Raw genomic sequence first — 15,591 nt, 5'->3', positions numbered from 1 at the left:
CACTATTTACTACCAACCAACATAAGAAAACTCCGTGCTTTCCATCCAGAAGCTACACCCACTGGGAAACATTTTTTTAGATATAATTGATATTCAACTTTGAAACTGCTCTGAAAAATACAAGAAGGTAAAATTGTCCAAATGTACATCACGCTGTGTGATTCACACTGAGTGTTTCTCTTAAAGAGAACTGAAAACTGTTCCCGGAATTTCTGCCAAATTTCTCTGAGCTCTTCACAGCAGCAGCTCCGTCAAGCTGGCTTGATTCAAACCAAGCGTTTGCCAGGGAAGCTCTTTCACATGTGGGAGTAGCTGAGGCCCTGATATGATTACATCCCTGAACATCGCTGGTTAGCAACTCGCAGAGGAAAAGAGCATGGTGTGTTTGAGACTCAGGCTGTGCGAGCGCCTGCCCTCGGGAGCTCATCCAAGCCCCTGTGGAAAGTCAGGGTGGGGCTTGGTCTCCTGCTCTCCTTCCTGGTGTCTTTGTGGGATTAAATTCCCCCTTCTGCAGATTTCTCGGGGTTATCTCCCGCCCTCCTACCTCCTCTTTCAATATGCTAGCAACTTTTAAAATATGCATATATTCCTTGTGCAGGTACATCAGACTTGCTCATATGTGTCAAGTTTTGTACAAACAGGAACTGAGAACAAAATAATACCAGTTCTGAGAGGTTGTCTCTGACAACACAGTAAAATGTTCCCAAATTTAAAAAAATCTTATCACAGGATTGGACAATTGCATGTTTTATCAGTGAAGGAAGATTAAACCATGAATGCTAATTGTACTTACATATCCCATGCATACCACTTATTCATCATAGGAATGTGGAATCGAAAATGAATGGTTCATTGCAGAATTTTTACATAGGCATTCTGCATCTCATGGTCTCTGAGGATGCTATGAAGTAATATAGGATACGGATTTAAAATGGGAATCCATGGATTTACTATATATATTACCTGTATTGACTGTTAGTGTTAGAAAGGGTTTCAAGAGTTTTGAGCGGTATGCATACTTTACAAAATCCTGTGTTTAATAAAGTGAATTGGTAGCATTCTAGCATGGAAATTACCAACCTGGGTTTTGTGATAAGAAAGATGTATCTCTAATTTCAGCTCTGACACGAGCCGTGGATGTGGTTCCTAAATGTTGTAGCCCTCATTCGCCCCACTAGTGAAATAGGGAAGATGGTTTCTGCTCCTCACAAGGAGTCACTTAGGTAACAATAGTGGTTAGCAGCAAGCACTCCCGCGGTACTGGCATTGAGGAGGCTCTCCTGATTCTTGTGACAGCTCAGCGGCAGCAGCTGGAATGGCAGAAGCATCAGTAACATTCCAGGAGCTGTTATTGTTCTGCATTTTACACAGCATCTGAGCTTCTTTCATCCCCCCTGTATTATGTAGCCCTTTTTCTTTCTGAAAGCTATTTTTGTAGTGGAAAACAAAACAACGAGTCAAGGGAAGTAAATACAGACCCATGTCCATCATCTCATCACCTCTCTATAAGCAGAAGAAAAGAAACTTCCTCCTCACAGCAAAAGTGAGATTAGCTAAACACAGGAAGTGTTCCATGACCCAGAAGGTTGTTTTCCAGAAGGAACTGTAGGCAGGGGCTGTGGAGACCTTGGATCTCCCCACCCACTTAAGGAATGATATTCACATACGGCAAGTTGGGCTGGGCTCAATTCCATTCTCTCACCCACTCTTGCATCAGGGATGAGCCTGGTGGCTGGAGCCCCCCTCCACTCTTGAAGGGGAGACGCAAAGAGAAGGTCAAATGGGAACGCTCAGTGGCCCTGGGGGATCAAATCTTTCTAGTGAGCTGGGGATAGCTGTGAGTCTCCTCATGACCCACAGGCCAGATGCAAAGAGCTGTTTCTTTTGGCCTTGACTTAAAATATTTCCCCCCACGCCAACTGCCAATGGAGCCCAAAGGTGTGCCTTAGAACTGCTCAGGAGTAACTGAGTGTGGCCGATGGCAGACGGTGGTGGGGAGAAGCAGGAGGAAGTGACCAGAACTTCCATGAGGGGAGAAACAGAGAAGGAAGCTCTAGGTCTTGATATGCTCTGGCTGTGTCTCCACCCAAATCTCATCTTGAATTGTAATCTGAACTATAATCCCCATGTGTTGGAGGAGGGACCTGGTGGGAGGTGACTGGATCATGGGGGCAGTTACCCCCATGCTGCTCTTATGATAGTGAGTGAGTTCTCATGAGATCTGATGGTTTTATAAGGGGCTTTTCCCCCTTTGCTTCTCTTTCTCTCTTTCACTCTCCTCTCTCTCTCTCTCCCCCTCTCTCTCTCCTTCTCACCTGCTGCCATGTAAGACATGCCTCTTCCCCTCTGCCATGATTGTAAGTTTCCTGAGGCCTCCCCAGCCATGTAGAATTGTGAGTCAATTAAATCTCTTTTCTTTATAAAGTACACAGTCTCTGGCAGTTCTTTATAGCAGTGTGAGAACAGACAAACAAACACAGGTTTTGAGTCCTATCATCAGATGGACCAGCCCTTCCTGGCTCCTGCTGCATCTGTCCAAGGCCTTCTCAAGTTCTGCAGGCCATCCTGATGGGGAGGTTGGATGAGGAAATGAGGGTGTGCAGCAGTTACCCCTGTGACTGCATCCCGACAAAAATCAAGATGATACTGGCAGAGCACACAAGGTTCTCAAAGCTGAGGACCAAGCCCACAGGTGGCCCCTGGGCCTGGGCAGAGGCAGGGGGGCCCAGGTGTGGTTCAACAGGCACCAAATACCTGCAAAACAACCTGTAATGAGCAATGCATTGGAGACGAGGATTCAGAGCTCTGCAGATATTGAATGGATAGACCACGATGCTCATCACTGAACTGGAAATAAACATGAGAAAGAATGAAGCCAGCAGGCTTTGTGGAAGAAGGCAACAAAAAGGAAGAACAGATCGAAGCTGAAGGGAACGTTAAGCCAGAAAGAAAGTGGCAGAAAAACCCTGAGGAAAGTCAAGATGGTCATGCAGACAGCTGGCAAAACTTCCAAGCAGCACAAAGGGGAAGTGAGAAAATACTCTGCTCTTTCTGGGTCCCAAGCCTGTAGAAACAGAGCGCGTGAGTGACTTCCTGGGGTCCAGAGCGCCAGAAACCCCACCCTCCGCCCGCCCTCCTGTAAGGCAGATTCACTCTCCCTTCCCACCCACCCAATATGCAGGGTCACTGCTGCTTCTTCTACTCTGTTTTCAGGGGAATATGGTGCTTTTCAAAGTATTTGGAACTGAAATAAGAGTCTCCATTTAAAGACTGCTCTTCTCTCTACCAACACCCAGAAAAACCAGGGCTGTTGGGACCCACACCCACCCTGCCGTCTGTTCCATGGCTTGAAAGCCAGTGTTTTCCACATCAGTGAATTATGATGGTGCTAAAAAAATTAAATTTAACAGATTTTAATTGAGCAAAGAATGATTCTGAATGGGCTCACAGCAACCCTGGGGTTGCCACATGATATGCTTTGGCTGTGTCCCCACCCAAATCTCATCTTGAATTGTAGCTCCCATAATTCCCACATGTCATGAAAGGGACCCAGTGGAAGGTAATCAAATCATGGGGGCAGGTCTTTCCCATGCTGTTCTCATGGTAGTGAATACGTCTCATAAGATCTGATGGTTTTATACAGGGCAGTTCCCCTGCACACACTATCTCTTGCCTGCTGCCATTTAAGACATCCCTTTACTCTTCTTTCATCTTCCACCATGATTGTGAGGCCTCCAACCCATGTGGAACTGTGGAGTCCATTAAAACTCTGTCCTTTGTAAATTACCCAGTCTCGGGTTTATCTTCATCAGCAGTGTCAGAACAGACTAATAGAGTAAATTGGTACCAGTAGAGTGGGGTGCTGCTGTAAAGATACTTGAAAATGTGGAAATGACTTTGGAACTGGGTAACAGGCAGAGGCTGGAACAGTTTGGAGGGTTTAGAAGAAGACAGGAAAATGTGGGGAAGTTTGGAGCTTCCTAGAGATTTGTTGAATGGCTTTGACCAAAATGCTGATAGCGACATGGACAATAAAGTCCAGGCTGCGGTGGTCTCAGATAGAGATGACGAACTTGTTGGGAACTGGAGCAAAGATGACTCCTGCTTTGTTTTAGTAAAGAGATGTCACATTTTGCCCCTGCCCTAGAGATCTGTGGAACTTTGAACTTGAGGGAGTTGATTTAAGGCATCTAGCAGAAGAAATTTCTAAGCAGCAAAGTGTTCAAGAGGTGACTTGAGTACTGTTAAAGGCATTCAGTTTTATGTATTCTCAAAGATATGGTTTGGATTTGGAATTTATGTTTAAAAGGGAAGCAGAACACAAAATTCTGGAAATTTGCAGCCCAACAATATGATAGAAAAAAAAATTCTGAGGAGAAATCCAAGCGAGCTGCAGAAACTTGCATAAGTAATGAGAAGCCTAATGTTAAACACCAAAGCAATGGGGAAAATGTCTCCAGGACATGTCAGGGGTCTTCACAGCAGCCCCTCCCAACACAAGCCAGGAGGCCTAGAAGGAAAAAAAATGGTTTCCTGGATCAAGATCAAGACTCCCTGCACTATGCAGCCTAGACATGGAGACCTGCATCCCAGCTGCTTCAGCTCCAGCCATGGCTAAAAGGGGCCTATGTACAGCTCAGGCTTTTGATTCAGGGGGTGCAAGCCCCAAGCCTTGGCAGCTTACATGTGGTGTTGGGCCTGCAGGTGCATTTGGGTCAAAAATTGAGGTTTGGGAACCTCCACCTACCTTTCAGAAGATGTATGCAAATGCCTGAATGTCCAGACAGAAGTTTGCTAGAGGGTGGGTCCTCATGGAGAACATCTACTAGGGCAGTGCAGAAAAGAAATGTGGGGTTAGATCCCCCACACAGAGTCTCCCCTGGGACACTGCCTAGTGGAGCTGTGAGAAGAGGGCCATCGTTCTCCAGATCCCAGAATTGTAGATCCACTGACAGCTTGCATCGTGCACCTGGAAAAACCACAGGTGCTCAACATCAGCTGTGAAAGCAGCCAAGTGGGAAGCTGTACCCTGCAAAGCCACAGAGGCAGAGCTCCCCAAAGCCATGGGAGCCCATCTCTTGCATCAACATGATCTGGATGTGAGACATGGAGTCAAAGGAGATTATTTCACAACTTTAAGATTTGGCTGCCCAGTTGGATTTTGAATTTATATGGGGCCTGTAACTCCTTTGTTTTGGCCAATTTCTCCCATTTGGAATGGGTGTATTTACCCACCACCTGTACTCTCATTGTATCTAGGAAGTAAATAACTTGCTTTTGGTTTTACAGGCTCATATGCAGAAGGGACTTGCCTTGTCTCAGATGAGACTTTGGACTATGGACTTTTGAGTTAATGCCCTAATAAGACTTTGGGGGAATGTTGGGAAGGCATGATTGGTTTTGAAATGTGAGGACATAAGGTTTGGGAGGGCCCAGGGGTGGAATGATATGGTTTGGCTGTGTCCCCATCCAAATCTCATCTTGAATTTTAGCCCCCATAATTCCCATGACATGTGGGAATGCTTGGAGACATTCAGGGCCTCTCCCAAAGGCAAAGTCCAACCCCAGAAGGTGACTCCAGAAACCCAGCTCTGTGTTGGGTGCGTTTTCACCCCCAGATGCTTATGTCTGACTGTATCACTGAGAATGGGCGGCCGGGGTGCGGGGTATCTGCAGAAATGGCTCTCAACACCACCCCTGGCAAAGACAGTAGGGCAGGAGAGAGAACCTCTTCCACCTGGATTGGTGCCTTCTAGGTTGACACCTGCAGAAGCATGGGGTTGAGTATTTCCTTGGTGTAGCCTGGCTCCTCCTCTTCTCATTTTTAAAGAAAGCCACATAAATAGGAGCATCACACGAACCTCTTATCTTAAGAAAGATAGAAGTTGAGAAGGTGAGAAAAAAAGGGAGAGAAAGAAGGGAAGGGATTGAGGGTGGGAGGAAAGGAGGGAAGGAGGGGGAGAGGAAGAAAGGCACTTTCAATTTAAAAGAGATTTTGATTTGTGAAAGGCCTTCATGCTCATAAATAATGGAATGCCCAAACCTTGCATATTTCAAGTTTGATTCCATGCCTTTCTATGCATTTTATTATGCTTGCATTTTTTTGTTTTAGTTTGGGGAGCAGTCCATTCTGAGGATCTCAAGTTGTTTTAATGCACAAAGGAGAAAGGACGAGTTGGAGATGGGGATGCTCTTTGGCATGGAAGGAAGCAGCAGCTGAACTGCAAGGGAGAGAATAGCCCAGTGGAGTTGGGGAGGAAGCTCCAGGGCATCTGTGTGCCTTGGTCAATCTCAGAGTTTGTTTTAAAAAGAAGACTTTTTTTTTTAATAGGAAACAAATATTTGAGTTTTCGTGAATAATTTGAATTGAGCTTCCAAACAATCCAAAAGATGGCAGGAGGCAGGAGGACACCTGGATCACAGTGCTGTGGTCCACACAGGCTCAGCCTGGAGCTGGGGGTCCATGGGGCTTGTGTTATGCCATCTCCATATCCTCTTCTCCACCAGCCACATCACCTCTTCGTTTACCAATATTCGGTTCCCCCGGGATTCCAGAGGGACCTGTACTGTTACTACAGCAATCCCTGGGCACCAGGACAAGAAAGAAGGAGGGACGATGAGGACGGCCGAGGTATACCCTCACCTTCCTCCAGCTGCATTGTGTGACAGCCCCTCTAGACCACCACGACATCTTGCCAGAGGTGCTTGCAAAATTGGCTCACAGTTTTTTTAAGCTCTCACTGGCTCACTATGTATCTTCATAGATCAGGGAAAGCAACTCAGTCAATAAGGTGAGGCCACCACATCTAGGGCCATGGTGCTGGAGGCGAAGCCTTGGCTGCAAGTCAGCTTCATCCTGTACCGGTGACATAACTTCTCTGAGCTTCATTTTACTTCTCTTATTAAGTGGGGATAACAAAAGTATCTCAGGGAACACAGTATGCCTTACATGGTATAGTTAGAATAAATAGAACATTATGAACAAATAGAAATGACCACATTATCATGATACTCTGGGTTACATAAATGCATATGATTTGTACAAAGCCACTGGGACCAGTTATACAACAACTGACTGGTTCTAATTTACCAAAGGCCAGATGCTGGAACAAGCACTTTGCATGTGGACGGCTTTGGCTCCCATTTGTTTCTCAATATTAACAACTCTGAGATGTTTTTATTACCCCACTGCTCTTTGTCACTTTATAATCAAGAGATACTGGTATGCATGGACTAAATATAAAATATGCTACACGCAGAGGAAAACTACCACCTCTTATTTGAAGGCTCGGAGATTTCTGAGCTTCCTGCTTAGGGCAGAGACACACTGAACATTAAGGATGGATGGGAATAGCAATGTTTCTACAGCTTTGTAACTGCATCTGTGTTTCCAAACATTTCATAGTTTAAGAGATGCAATATCAAAACTTGCTTTAGCCATGGATATTAAGAGGTCTTTTTTAAAACAATCAGAGATTAGAATACACTTTGAAAATAAAGGTGACATGGTTTGGGCTATATTCCCATCCAAATCTCATCTTGAATTGTAGTTCCCATAATCCCCATGTGTGTACAAGGGACTCAGTGGGAGGTAACTGAATCGTGGGGGCAGTTACCCCAAGCTGTTCTCATGATAGTGGGTGAGTTCTCGTGAGATCTGAGGGTTTTATAGGGGGCTTTTCCCCCTTTTGCTCTGCACTTCTCTCTTGCCTGCTGCCATGTAAGGCATGCCTTTGCTCCTCCTGCACCTTCCGCCATGATTGTGAGGCCTCCCCAGCCATGTGGAGCTGTGAGTCCATTAAACCTCTTTCCTTTATAAATTACCCAATCTCGGGTATGTCTCTATTAGCAGCATGAGAATGGACTAACACAGTAGCTTAAATAGTTGATAATTAAATCTGATTCAGATGGCCACACATAGATTCCTATCATTAAATATTTTCTATTTTAAGATTATGGCATGTGCATTCTTTTATCAGCATTGGAGCCCATCTAATCAAGAAGTAAAGGTCCTATTTAAATGGCTTTTAGACAAGTCACCTGGTAAAGAGGATTTAAGAGCAAATGGGGAAGAGAAACCAGAATTTAACTGTTTTCTACTTGATTCCCACCGAAATGACCAAATATTTCATAATGAAAAAGATGCAATAGCCCCGAGATCTACGATGGAGTCTTCCCACTCCAGAAATTTCCAGGCATTTCTCCTGGTCCTAAGGCAGACAGAACCCAGGCGCAAACAGTCCAGCCTGGTCCACACGACAGGAATAGCCCTCCTGAAGGTGGACGTGAAAGCTTGGACAAAGCTGTTTGTGTCCAAGGAGAGGAAAGGCTAAAGGTAAGTCGACCACAGGCCAGCGAGGGGCACACCTGGATCCCACCAGCCCCTGTGGGGGGTGCTTCAGGATTCTGACCACAGGATTCTGACCGCAGGAGCACCCATCCCGAGGCACTCACCACTTTCCACCATGACCGCCACAAACCTGGCACAGCAGCACTCGGCTTCAGCGAAGGTGCTCTGAAGTCCAAGTCTGCTCCGCGCATCCGGGCTGCTCTCTGTCCCAGCCTGCGCTGCAGCGGCATCACCCCCACGCTGCGGGGCAATCCCAACTTTCCCGGCGATTTTCAGAGAGCTGGAAAGATGTGAATGGGGACACACATGTTATGGGATGTAACGGACCTCAACTCACAGGACAGGAAAACTACAAGTGTCCCCGAGCACACAGAAGAATTGCAGGGGAGATGAGAAGATACGGCAGCCAGCAGGAGAATCTGGACTGAGAAGTCAGAACAATATTTTTTCTGTGATGTGATCACTGTAGTCAGAACAATATTTTTTCTGTGAATGTGATCACTGTAAGAACACGAGGTACATTTTGGAAATTTCAAATCTGTGCTTTCAGCAACATTCAATTGGAGACAACATTGATGAAACAAAGTCAAGGGCTCATGGAAAGGGAGTTGGTGATGTATAAAGGGGTTATTAAAATCTACCCAAGAGTGAAAAACATGACTATCAAATGACAAATTTCAAAAGACACATTAAACATAAAATTAAAGCCAAATATTGAATGGAATAGAACCTACAAAAAAGAAACAATAGTCATGGAAAACATAGAGTAAAATCCACCTAAATGAAGAAAATGTTGAGATTGTAAATTCAAAGAAGTCACAGAGAACCAGAAATAAATTAATGAACAAAGAAACTCACAGTGGCATATCTTGATGAAATTCTTGAACTTAATATTATAATGATAGAAAAACAATATCAAAATATCACATTGTACCCCATAAATGCCATAAATTATTTGTCACCTAATATTAATTTATAAATAAATAACTAAAATAATAAGTATTTTGTGTTTTTCTTCATAAATAGGTTTGTAATTCGTCTGAAATTAGCTTTTATGAATTCCATAAAGTAGAATCCAGCTTTAACCCATAGAGGCTGCCAATTACTTCTGTAATTTCATTGAGTGCTTATCTTTCCTCAAATGCTGAATCTATTATATTAAAGGTTTTTTAATATAGAAAAAATAAGGTAAACTACAAAGTAAAAAGTTACATCAAAACAACCAGGCTGATCTGAGATTTCACATTTGCAGTGCTACATTTATTTTAGTATTTTTTGTCAGTGTTTTCAAAGTGGTATATTTATAAGGATAATTTTTAGAACCAAGAATTCTATGTCCTGAAATTTCTGATGCATTTATGAGTGGGGAAATAATAAGAAAAAACAAAAAAATTCAATTTGAAAGCATTAAAAGTATGGCAAACATGCAGGATTTGTGTTGATTAATAAAGGAAATGATTAATAATATTGTAAAATGTATAATGCTTATGTACCAAAGAAAAGAGTATGGCATTATCTAAAAAGTCATCCAAGTAAATAAAAACTTGAGAAAAATCACAATTGCATATATAGGTTTGTTGATGTTTCTTTTTATTCTACTGAAAGTGGGAAACTGGCATGTAGTGAGACAGAGAAATGGAACATTGTAAAACACACATTAACAGATTCCTGCTAGACAATTATCTATACTTTTCTGTATACTTAAAATATTTCTTAATAAAAATTAAATAACTACATAGAAAGATAAATTACAGACTGGGATAAGATAGTTATAAACTCCATTCTAATAAAGATCTTAAGTCCAAATTATGCAAAGAATTGTTATAATCCAAAAATATGACCAACAACACAACATAAATGGACAAAATATTTGAACAGACATTTTAACAGAGAAGATCTAGGAATAGCCAACAAAGACAGAAAAAGGGGCCCAACAGCACCAGTGAACAAAGGGAGGTCATCTAAAGTCACAAGGCAGGCATGTGAGTGTGAGAACGGGAGGCGGCTGGAGAGCCCAGCCCCTTTTCCTGGCAATGTGGAAAGGAAAAGGAAAAGATGAGCAGTTCTTTATCAAGTTAAACATGTGTTTAGAGTATGATCCAGCCATCTCAAGGCTCAGCATTCATCTAAGAAAAATGAAAACATGTGTCCACATAATTATTATATAGCAGCTTCGCTTATATGGTCAAAAACCCAGTGCAACCAGAACAGGTGACTGGATAAACAACCTGTGATAACCCATGCCATGGACCTGATCTGCAGCAATACGGATGGTTCTCAAGGTCATAGAGCTAAGTGAAGGAAGACAAAGACCAAATAGAATTATTCTTCCCATAGAGTATTCTAGGTAAGACAACAACATCGGACAGCAAGCAGACCAGTGAGTGTCAGGCTTGTGGGTGGGCAGTGGTGGGGTCTGAGGGGACTTGGGGGTAACGGACATGGTCAGGATCTTGGTTGCAAGACTGCATGCCCGCCACACGCATGTGCAAAGTCCTTCAGCTTTTATCAACTTAAAAAGGGTGAATTCTGTCTCTAAATTCTATCTCAATAAATTTGACAAAAATATTATACATATTTTATAAACCATATATCATAGATTGATATATTGAATATTTCACTTCATACCTTTTTAAATTATTATTTTCCGGAAAAATAACACATTTTTTTATTTGGGGCACACCAGTGCACTACAGAACATAGTTTCCAACATACTACATGACATATATTCCCATCAATGTCAAGAAAAACATGCAAATTTCATAAATGGCAAATATTTAGTAATATTACTCTGGAAATTCAAACAAATATAGACAGATTATGGAAACATAAGTCAGAGCTTACAGTCGCTGGAAAGAGACAATTATTATTCACAGCCACCATGATTCTCCACTTAAAAATCTAAGAGGATCGAATAAGAAATTATTACAACAATGAAGAGTTCAGAAGTACACCCGTTTGCATAATGGAAACTAAACATGCAATCACAATTGTAAATAGAGAGGACTGAAAAATAAGAAGTAGGGCCCAGCTACCTCATGTCTTAGATTTATCTGAATTTAAGAAAGGAGGTGTTCAGGTTTCAGAACTTGGGAATACCTGCCAGACCCCACAGGAGCACAGCTGAGAGGTCCTGAAGGGCCAGCTCCCATGGAGGAAACCAGGGCTTTGACGGGAGCACAATGGTGAGGCTTCAGTGTGTACTTGGCGAGTGGGGCCTGGGAAGGAGAGTGGGGAAGAAAAGAGAGAGGGAAGGAACCAATGAGTGACCTAATTATAATCAGGCTCCTCCTGGTTATCTTTTTTTTTTTTTTTTTTTTTTTTTTTTTTTTTTTTTAAGATGGCATTTTGTTCTTGTCGCCCAGGCTGGAATGCAGTGGCACGATCTCGGCTCACTGCAACCTCCGCCTCCCTGATTCAAGCGATTCTCCTGCCTCGGCCTCCGAGTAGCTGGGATTACAGCTGCTTGCCACCACATCCAACTAATTTTTGTATTTTTAGTAGAGAGGGGATTTCGCCATGTTGGCCAGGCTGGTCTCGCACTCCTGACCTCAAGTGATCCGCCTGCCTTGGCCTACCAAAGTGCTGGGATTACACGCATGAGCCACCGAGCCTGGCCTCATCTTTTTAACCCTCACGATAAACAAGTGGGCCAATATGAGCAGCTCCCCCAGCCCCGGTTTTCTCGGTGGGTGCAGCCCCTCTCGTGGAAGGGGGAAGGGGGAAGGGGTAGGGGGTGCAGCACCTGCGAAGGTGAATGGTTCTGTACGATTTTGTGGAAAATGCAAAACACAGAGTGCAGAGCTCGGTTTCCTCGTGGCATGATTCTTCCTGTCCCTTCCTTCCTGGAGTGACTGCATCCACCAAGGACCCTTCTCACCTGCACACCCACCTCCGCAAGAGGAATATTCTCTTCCTCAACCGATGTTCAAGTTTGAAAACATGATTCTAAGAGGCAAAGTGCTGAGTTTCCTCTAGTGAAATAGCACTTAGGCTAGTTAATCCACCCACCCGCTGTAACATTCGGTTTCCTCACCTGTAAAACAGTCAACAACATACATAAAGGTCCCCATAAATGGCCATGCTAACTCTTGATGTTTTATTAGGAAAGCTGGTTCTCAGCACAAGATGGTTTTATTTTGAATTAACTTCAGCTCCTTGGCGTTGGCAGTCATACTGATGTCCTACCTTGAACTAGATTAAGAATGAAGCTGGATTTACAGCTATTTATTGGCTAATACTTTGGGTTACATGACTAAGCTTTGCAGAGAAATATCATCTTCCCAACCCAATGATTAGAAAACATCTGAAAATCTCAAATGCACATATGGATGTATCCGTGCCGGTGTTAAAGAAATTGCAGTGATAAAATGAGAAAACACGGTTTCCTTGATCTGAAGTATTGATTTTTAATTATTTTCGGCCCAGAGCTGAAGGTGGCAGAAGAGTAGCCCAGGAGCCGAGGGCTCGGTGCTGGCGCGGACGCCTTCCCAGCCTGCGGGGTGTGCACAGGGCGCTTACCCACTCAGAGTAGAACCTGGGAGAAAACACGACTGGATGTTATTTTCGCCGCAGCTGCTGAATTGGAGCAGGTTGAATCCGGACGTCCCTATGGCCATCTAGTTTGTGGGACCCAGGCGCCTCAGACCCTAACTGGACCCAACAGAAAGCTCCTGCTGGCCAGGGAGGAATGAGACTGAGTATCCAAGTGTGAGCAGAGCCGTGGACTCGGCCCTACATATCCAGAGGACCCTTTACTGTTTAGAGGGCACAACCAACATAAACTCCGCTTTCCTAGAACTTAAAAACTCCTGACTTTTTGCCCTCAGCACAGTACCCAGTGAATTTCTTCACCCACCCGTGTGGGCTCGCAAGGCAAACTACCAGATGCACCTTTGGCCTTTTCTGCAGTCTTCCTCTAACCCCTAATGGCTCCTGGCTGCTGGGCTTGGCTTGGGAAGGGATTGGGGGAAGTGGAGAGGGGCTTCCCCTGGGACAGTCCAGGGCCACGTGCCCAGGATGGCCTCACAGCCTTGTCGGGAGCTGAGACCCCGCCCAGCCCCACTCTTCCCCATCTCAGGGAGGAGAAAAGCTTTCTCCTCCCCTCTTCTAGGTGTACTCTTTCTTCTCCCGGAGGCTGAGCATGATCAGCCACCCACTGCTGAGCTCTGGCAGCTGCTCAGCCTGGGAGTTGCCCTCTCTGTGAGGCAGGAGAATAGGGTCTGGAGGCGGCGAACCTGAGGCTGATTTACGATTCACACTGACTTCCTAGAACTAAATCAAAACGAAAACCCCAACTTTCCATCCCCAAGTGGAAAGGACCAGAGGCTACTCCCTTTACAATGCCCCCCTCCCCTTTTCTGTGTGGCAGATGTAAAAATGAAAGTACCTCTGATTGGTCCCCTCCTGCAATCAATCAGGCTGGTCCCAGGCCAAGTCTTCATTTGCATAGGAGTATAACTTTGTAACTTCACTTCAGCCTCTGATTGGTCCCCTCCCACAACCAATCAGACTGATTGTAGGCCACTACTTCATTTACATAGGGTGTAAACCAAGTAACCAATGGGCAACCTCTAGAGGGTTTTCAAACCCCAGAAAATTCTGTAACTTGGCTTTTAATCTGCTTGCTTGGGTCAACTTCCACACTGTGGAGTGTACTTTCATTTTCAGTAAATCTCTGCTTTGTTGCTTTATTCTTTTCTTTCTTTCTTTGTGCGTTTTGTCCAACTCTTGTCCAAGACTCCAAGAACCTGAACACCCCCCACCGGTAACACCTGTACCCTTGGAGCCAGCCTTCAAACCAAACCAGAGAGACATCCCAGCATGTTCCACCCCACCGCATCTCCTGATGGGAAAAGCGGCGCTAAATTGGGCTGGGAAAGCCCAATTTAACCCAGCGCTTTCCAATACTGGCTGCAAATTGGAATCATCTGAGGAACTTTAAAATAAATACTGATGCCTGGCTCTTGCCCCCACAGATTCTGATGCAATTGGTGTGCTGTGTGACCTTGGGAATTTCAAGGATCTGCAGGTGGCTCGAATGAGCAGCCAAAGTTGAGAGCGCTGATTGAACTTGATGTTCACTGTTGACTTTTCAGTCTTTACCCTGCTTAGACGAGCTTCAGCTGCTCCTGTTTTATCTAGCGTTTGTATTAGAAATGAAAGGCTGAATAGTAGCCTATGCTTTTTGGCCACTGATAGGTATATAGTAACTATAATATTTTCCCCTTTAATTTTCCAATGCAATGATCTATAGCATTGTTTTATCTAATAACAAATTATTCTTGCATTCCAGTCAAATTTGCTATAGGGGTGTCGAAGGTGGATTAGAATTTGGTGCCTCTCCTTTCTGTTTCAGTAAAACCTCTCCCTTAGGATGTTCTCTCTCAGTCAGGGCCTCATAGTGAAATCAGACAACTTGAATTTGGATTTCAGCTTGATGGGATGAGAATAGCTCTTACTTCAAAAGCCCATGGAAGAGACAAAATGATATAATGTGTGTGAAGGACTCAGGTCAGTGCCTAGCACGTGACAAAACCACAGTAAATGGTCGCATCAAGGCAGAAAGAAGATATTTGATATTATGTCTTGTTCCTCTGGCCCACAGAGGGCCGGCTCCTTCTCTCCTGCTCCACCCAATGCTCCACCCATCCCTCACTGCAGCTTGCAGGTGGAAGTAGATTCACTCCCTGAGCTCCAGCACAAACCTCCAGCTGGCCCTGTGGGAAATGTCAGGCAGGTCGATGAGAATAGCCAGGACCCAGGTACCCTCCACGGTGAGTGCAGTGCAGAATTCTGCTCACTGCAAGCAGAGATTTGCTGCAAATGGAGATGAAAGTTGAAAATGCTCCGGGGTAGATAAGATGTGGGAGAAACTTCAATTCCTTAGGTGAATTGCAAGAAGTAATGATTTTCTGCTTACTGACGGCCTCGTTCTTAATCTGCAGTGGGAAACTAGATTGTGCAATTTCTGATAATTTGAAGCATTTTTGTTTTCTGCATTTTTACTGCAGTTGCTAAAAATTTATTTTCCTCTGACAGTTTCTGAAGATTGCACAAACAATTGGGGAGAGGAAATTTTCAGCATTTCTGTTAACTCTACCATTTTAACTCAAAGTAATCTGTATAGAAGCTTAGAAAAATATAAAAAAGAAACCAATTTGATCCTATCGCCTTTACCATAGCTTGTTTGCTTCATTTGCACTGGATTTTCATTAGCACTGAGGGTTGAACCCACAGGT

At 44.1% G+C, this 15,591-nt stretch overlaps 1 pseudogene, besides 1 other annotated feature; it reads left to right on the top strand.

Annotated features, from left to right (window-relative positions):
* On the top strand, positions 2,539 to 3,078 carry LOC100421527 (DnaJ heat shock protein family (Hsp40) member C8 pseudogene; annotated as a pseudogene).
* Positions 13,714 to 13,763: an enhancer, noted in NCBI's record as "active region_13535". NCBI's record gives its function as "activates an Ori minimal core promoter by ATAC-STARR-seq in GM12878 lymphoblastoid cells {active_cell/tissue: GM12878}" and the evidence as "EXISTENCE:reporter gene assay evidence [ECO:0000049][PMID:35858748]".

This window comes from Homo sapiens, chromosome 18, assembly GCF_000001405.40.
Source record: "Homo sapiens chromosome 18, GRCh38.p14 Primary Assembly".
Taxonomy (NCBI): domain Eukaryota; kingdom Metazoa; phylum Chordata; class Mammalia; order Primates; family Hominidae; genus Homo; species Homo sapiens.
The sequence above is the reverse complement of the archived record's forward strand: the minus strand, read 5'-3'. Positions and strand labels throughout refer to the sequence as shown.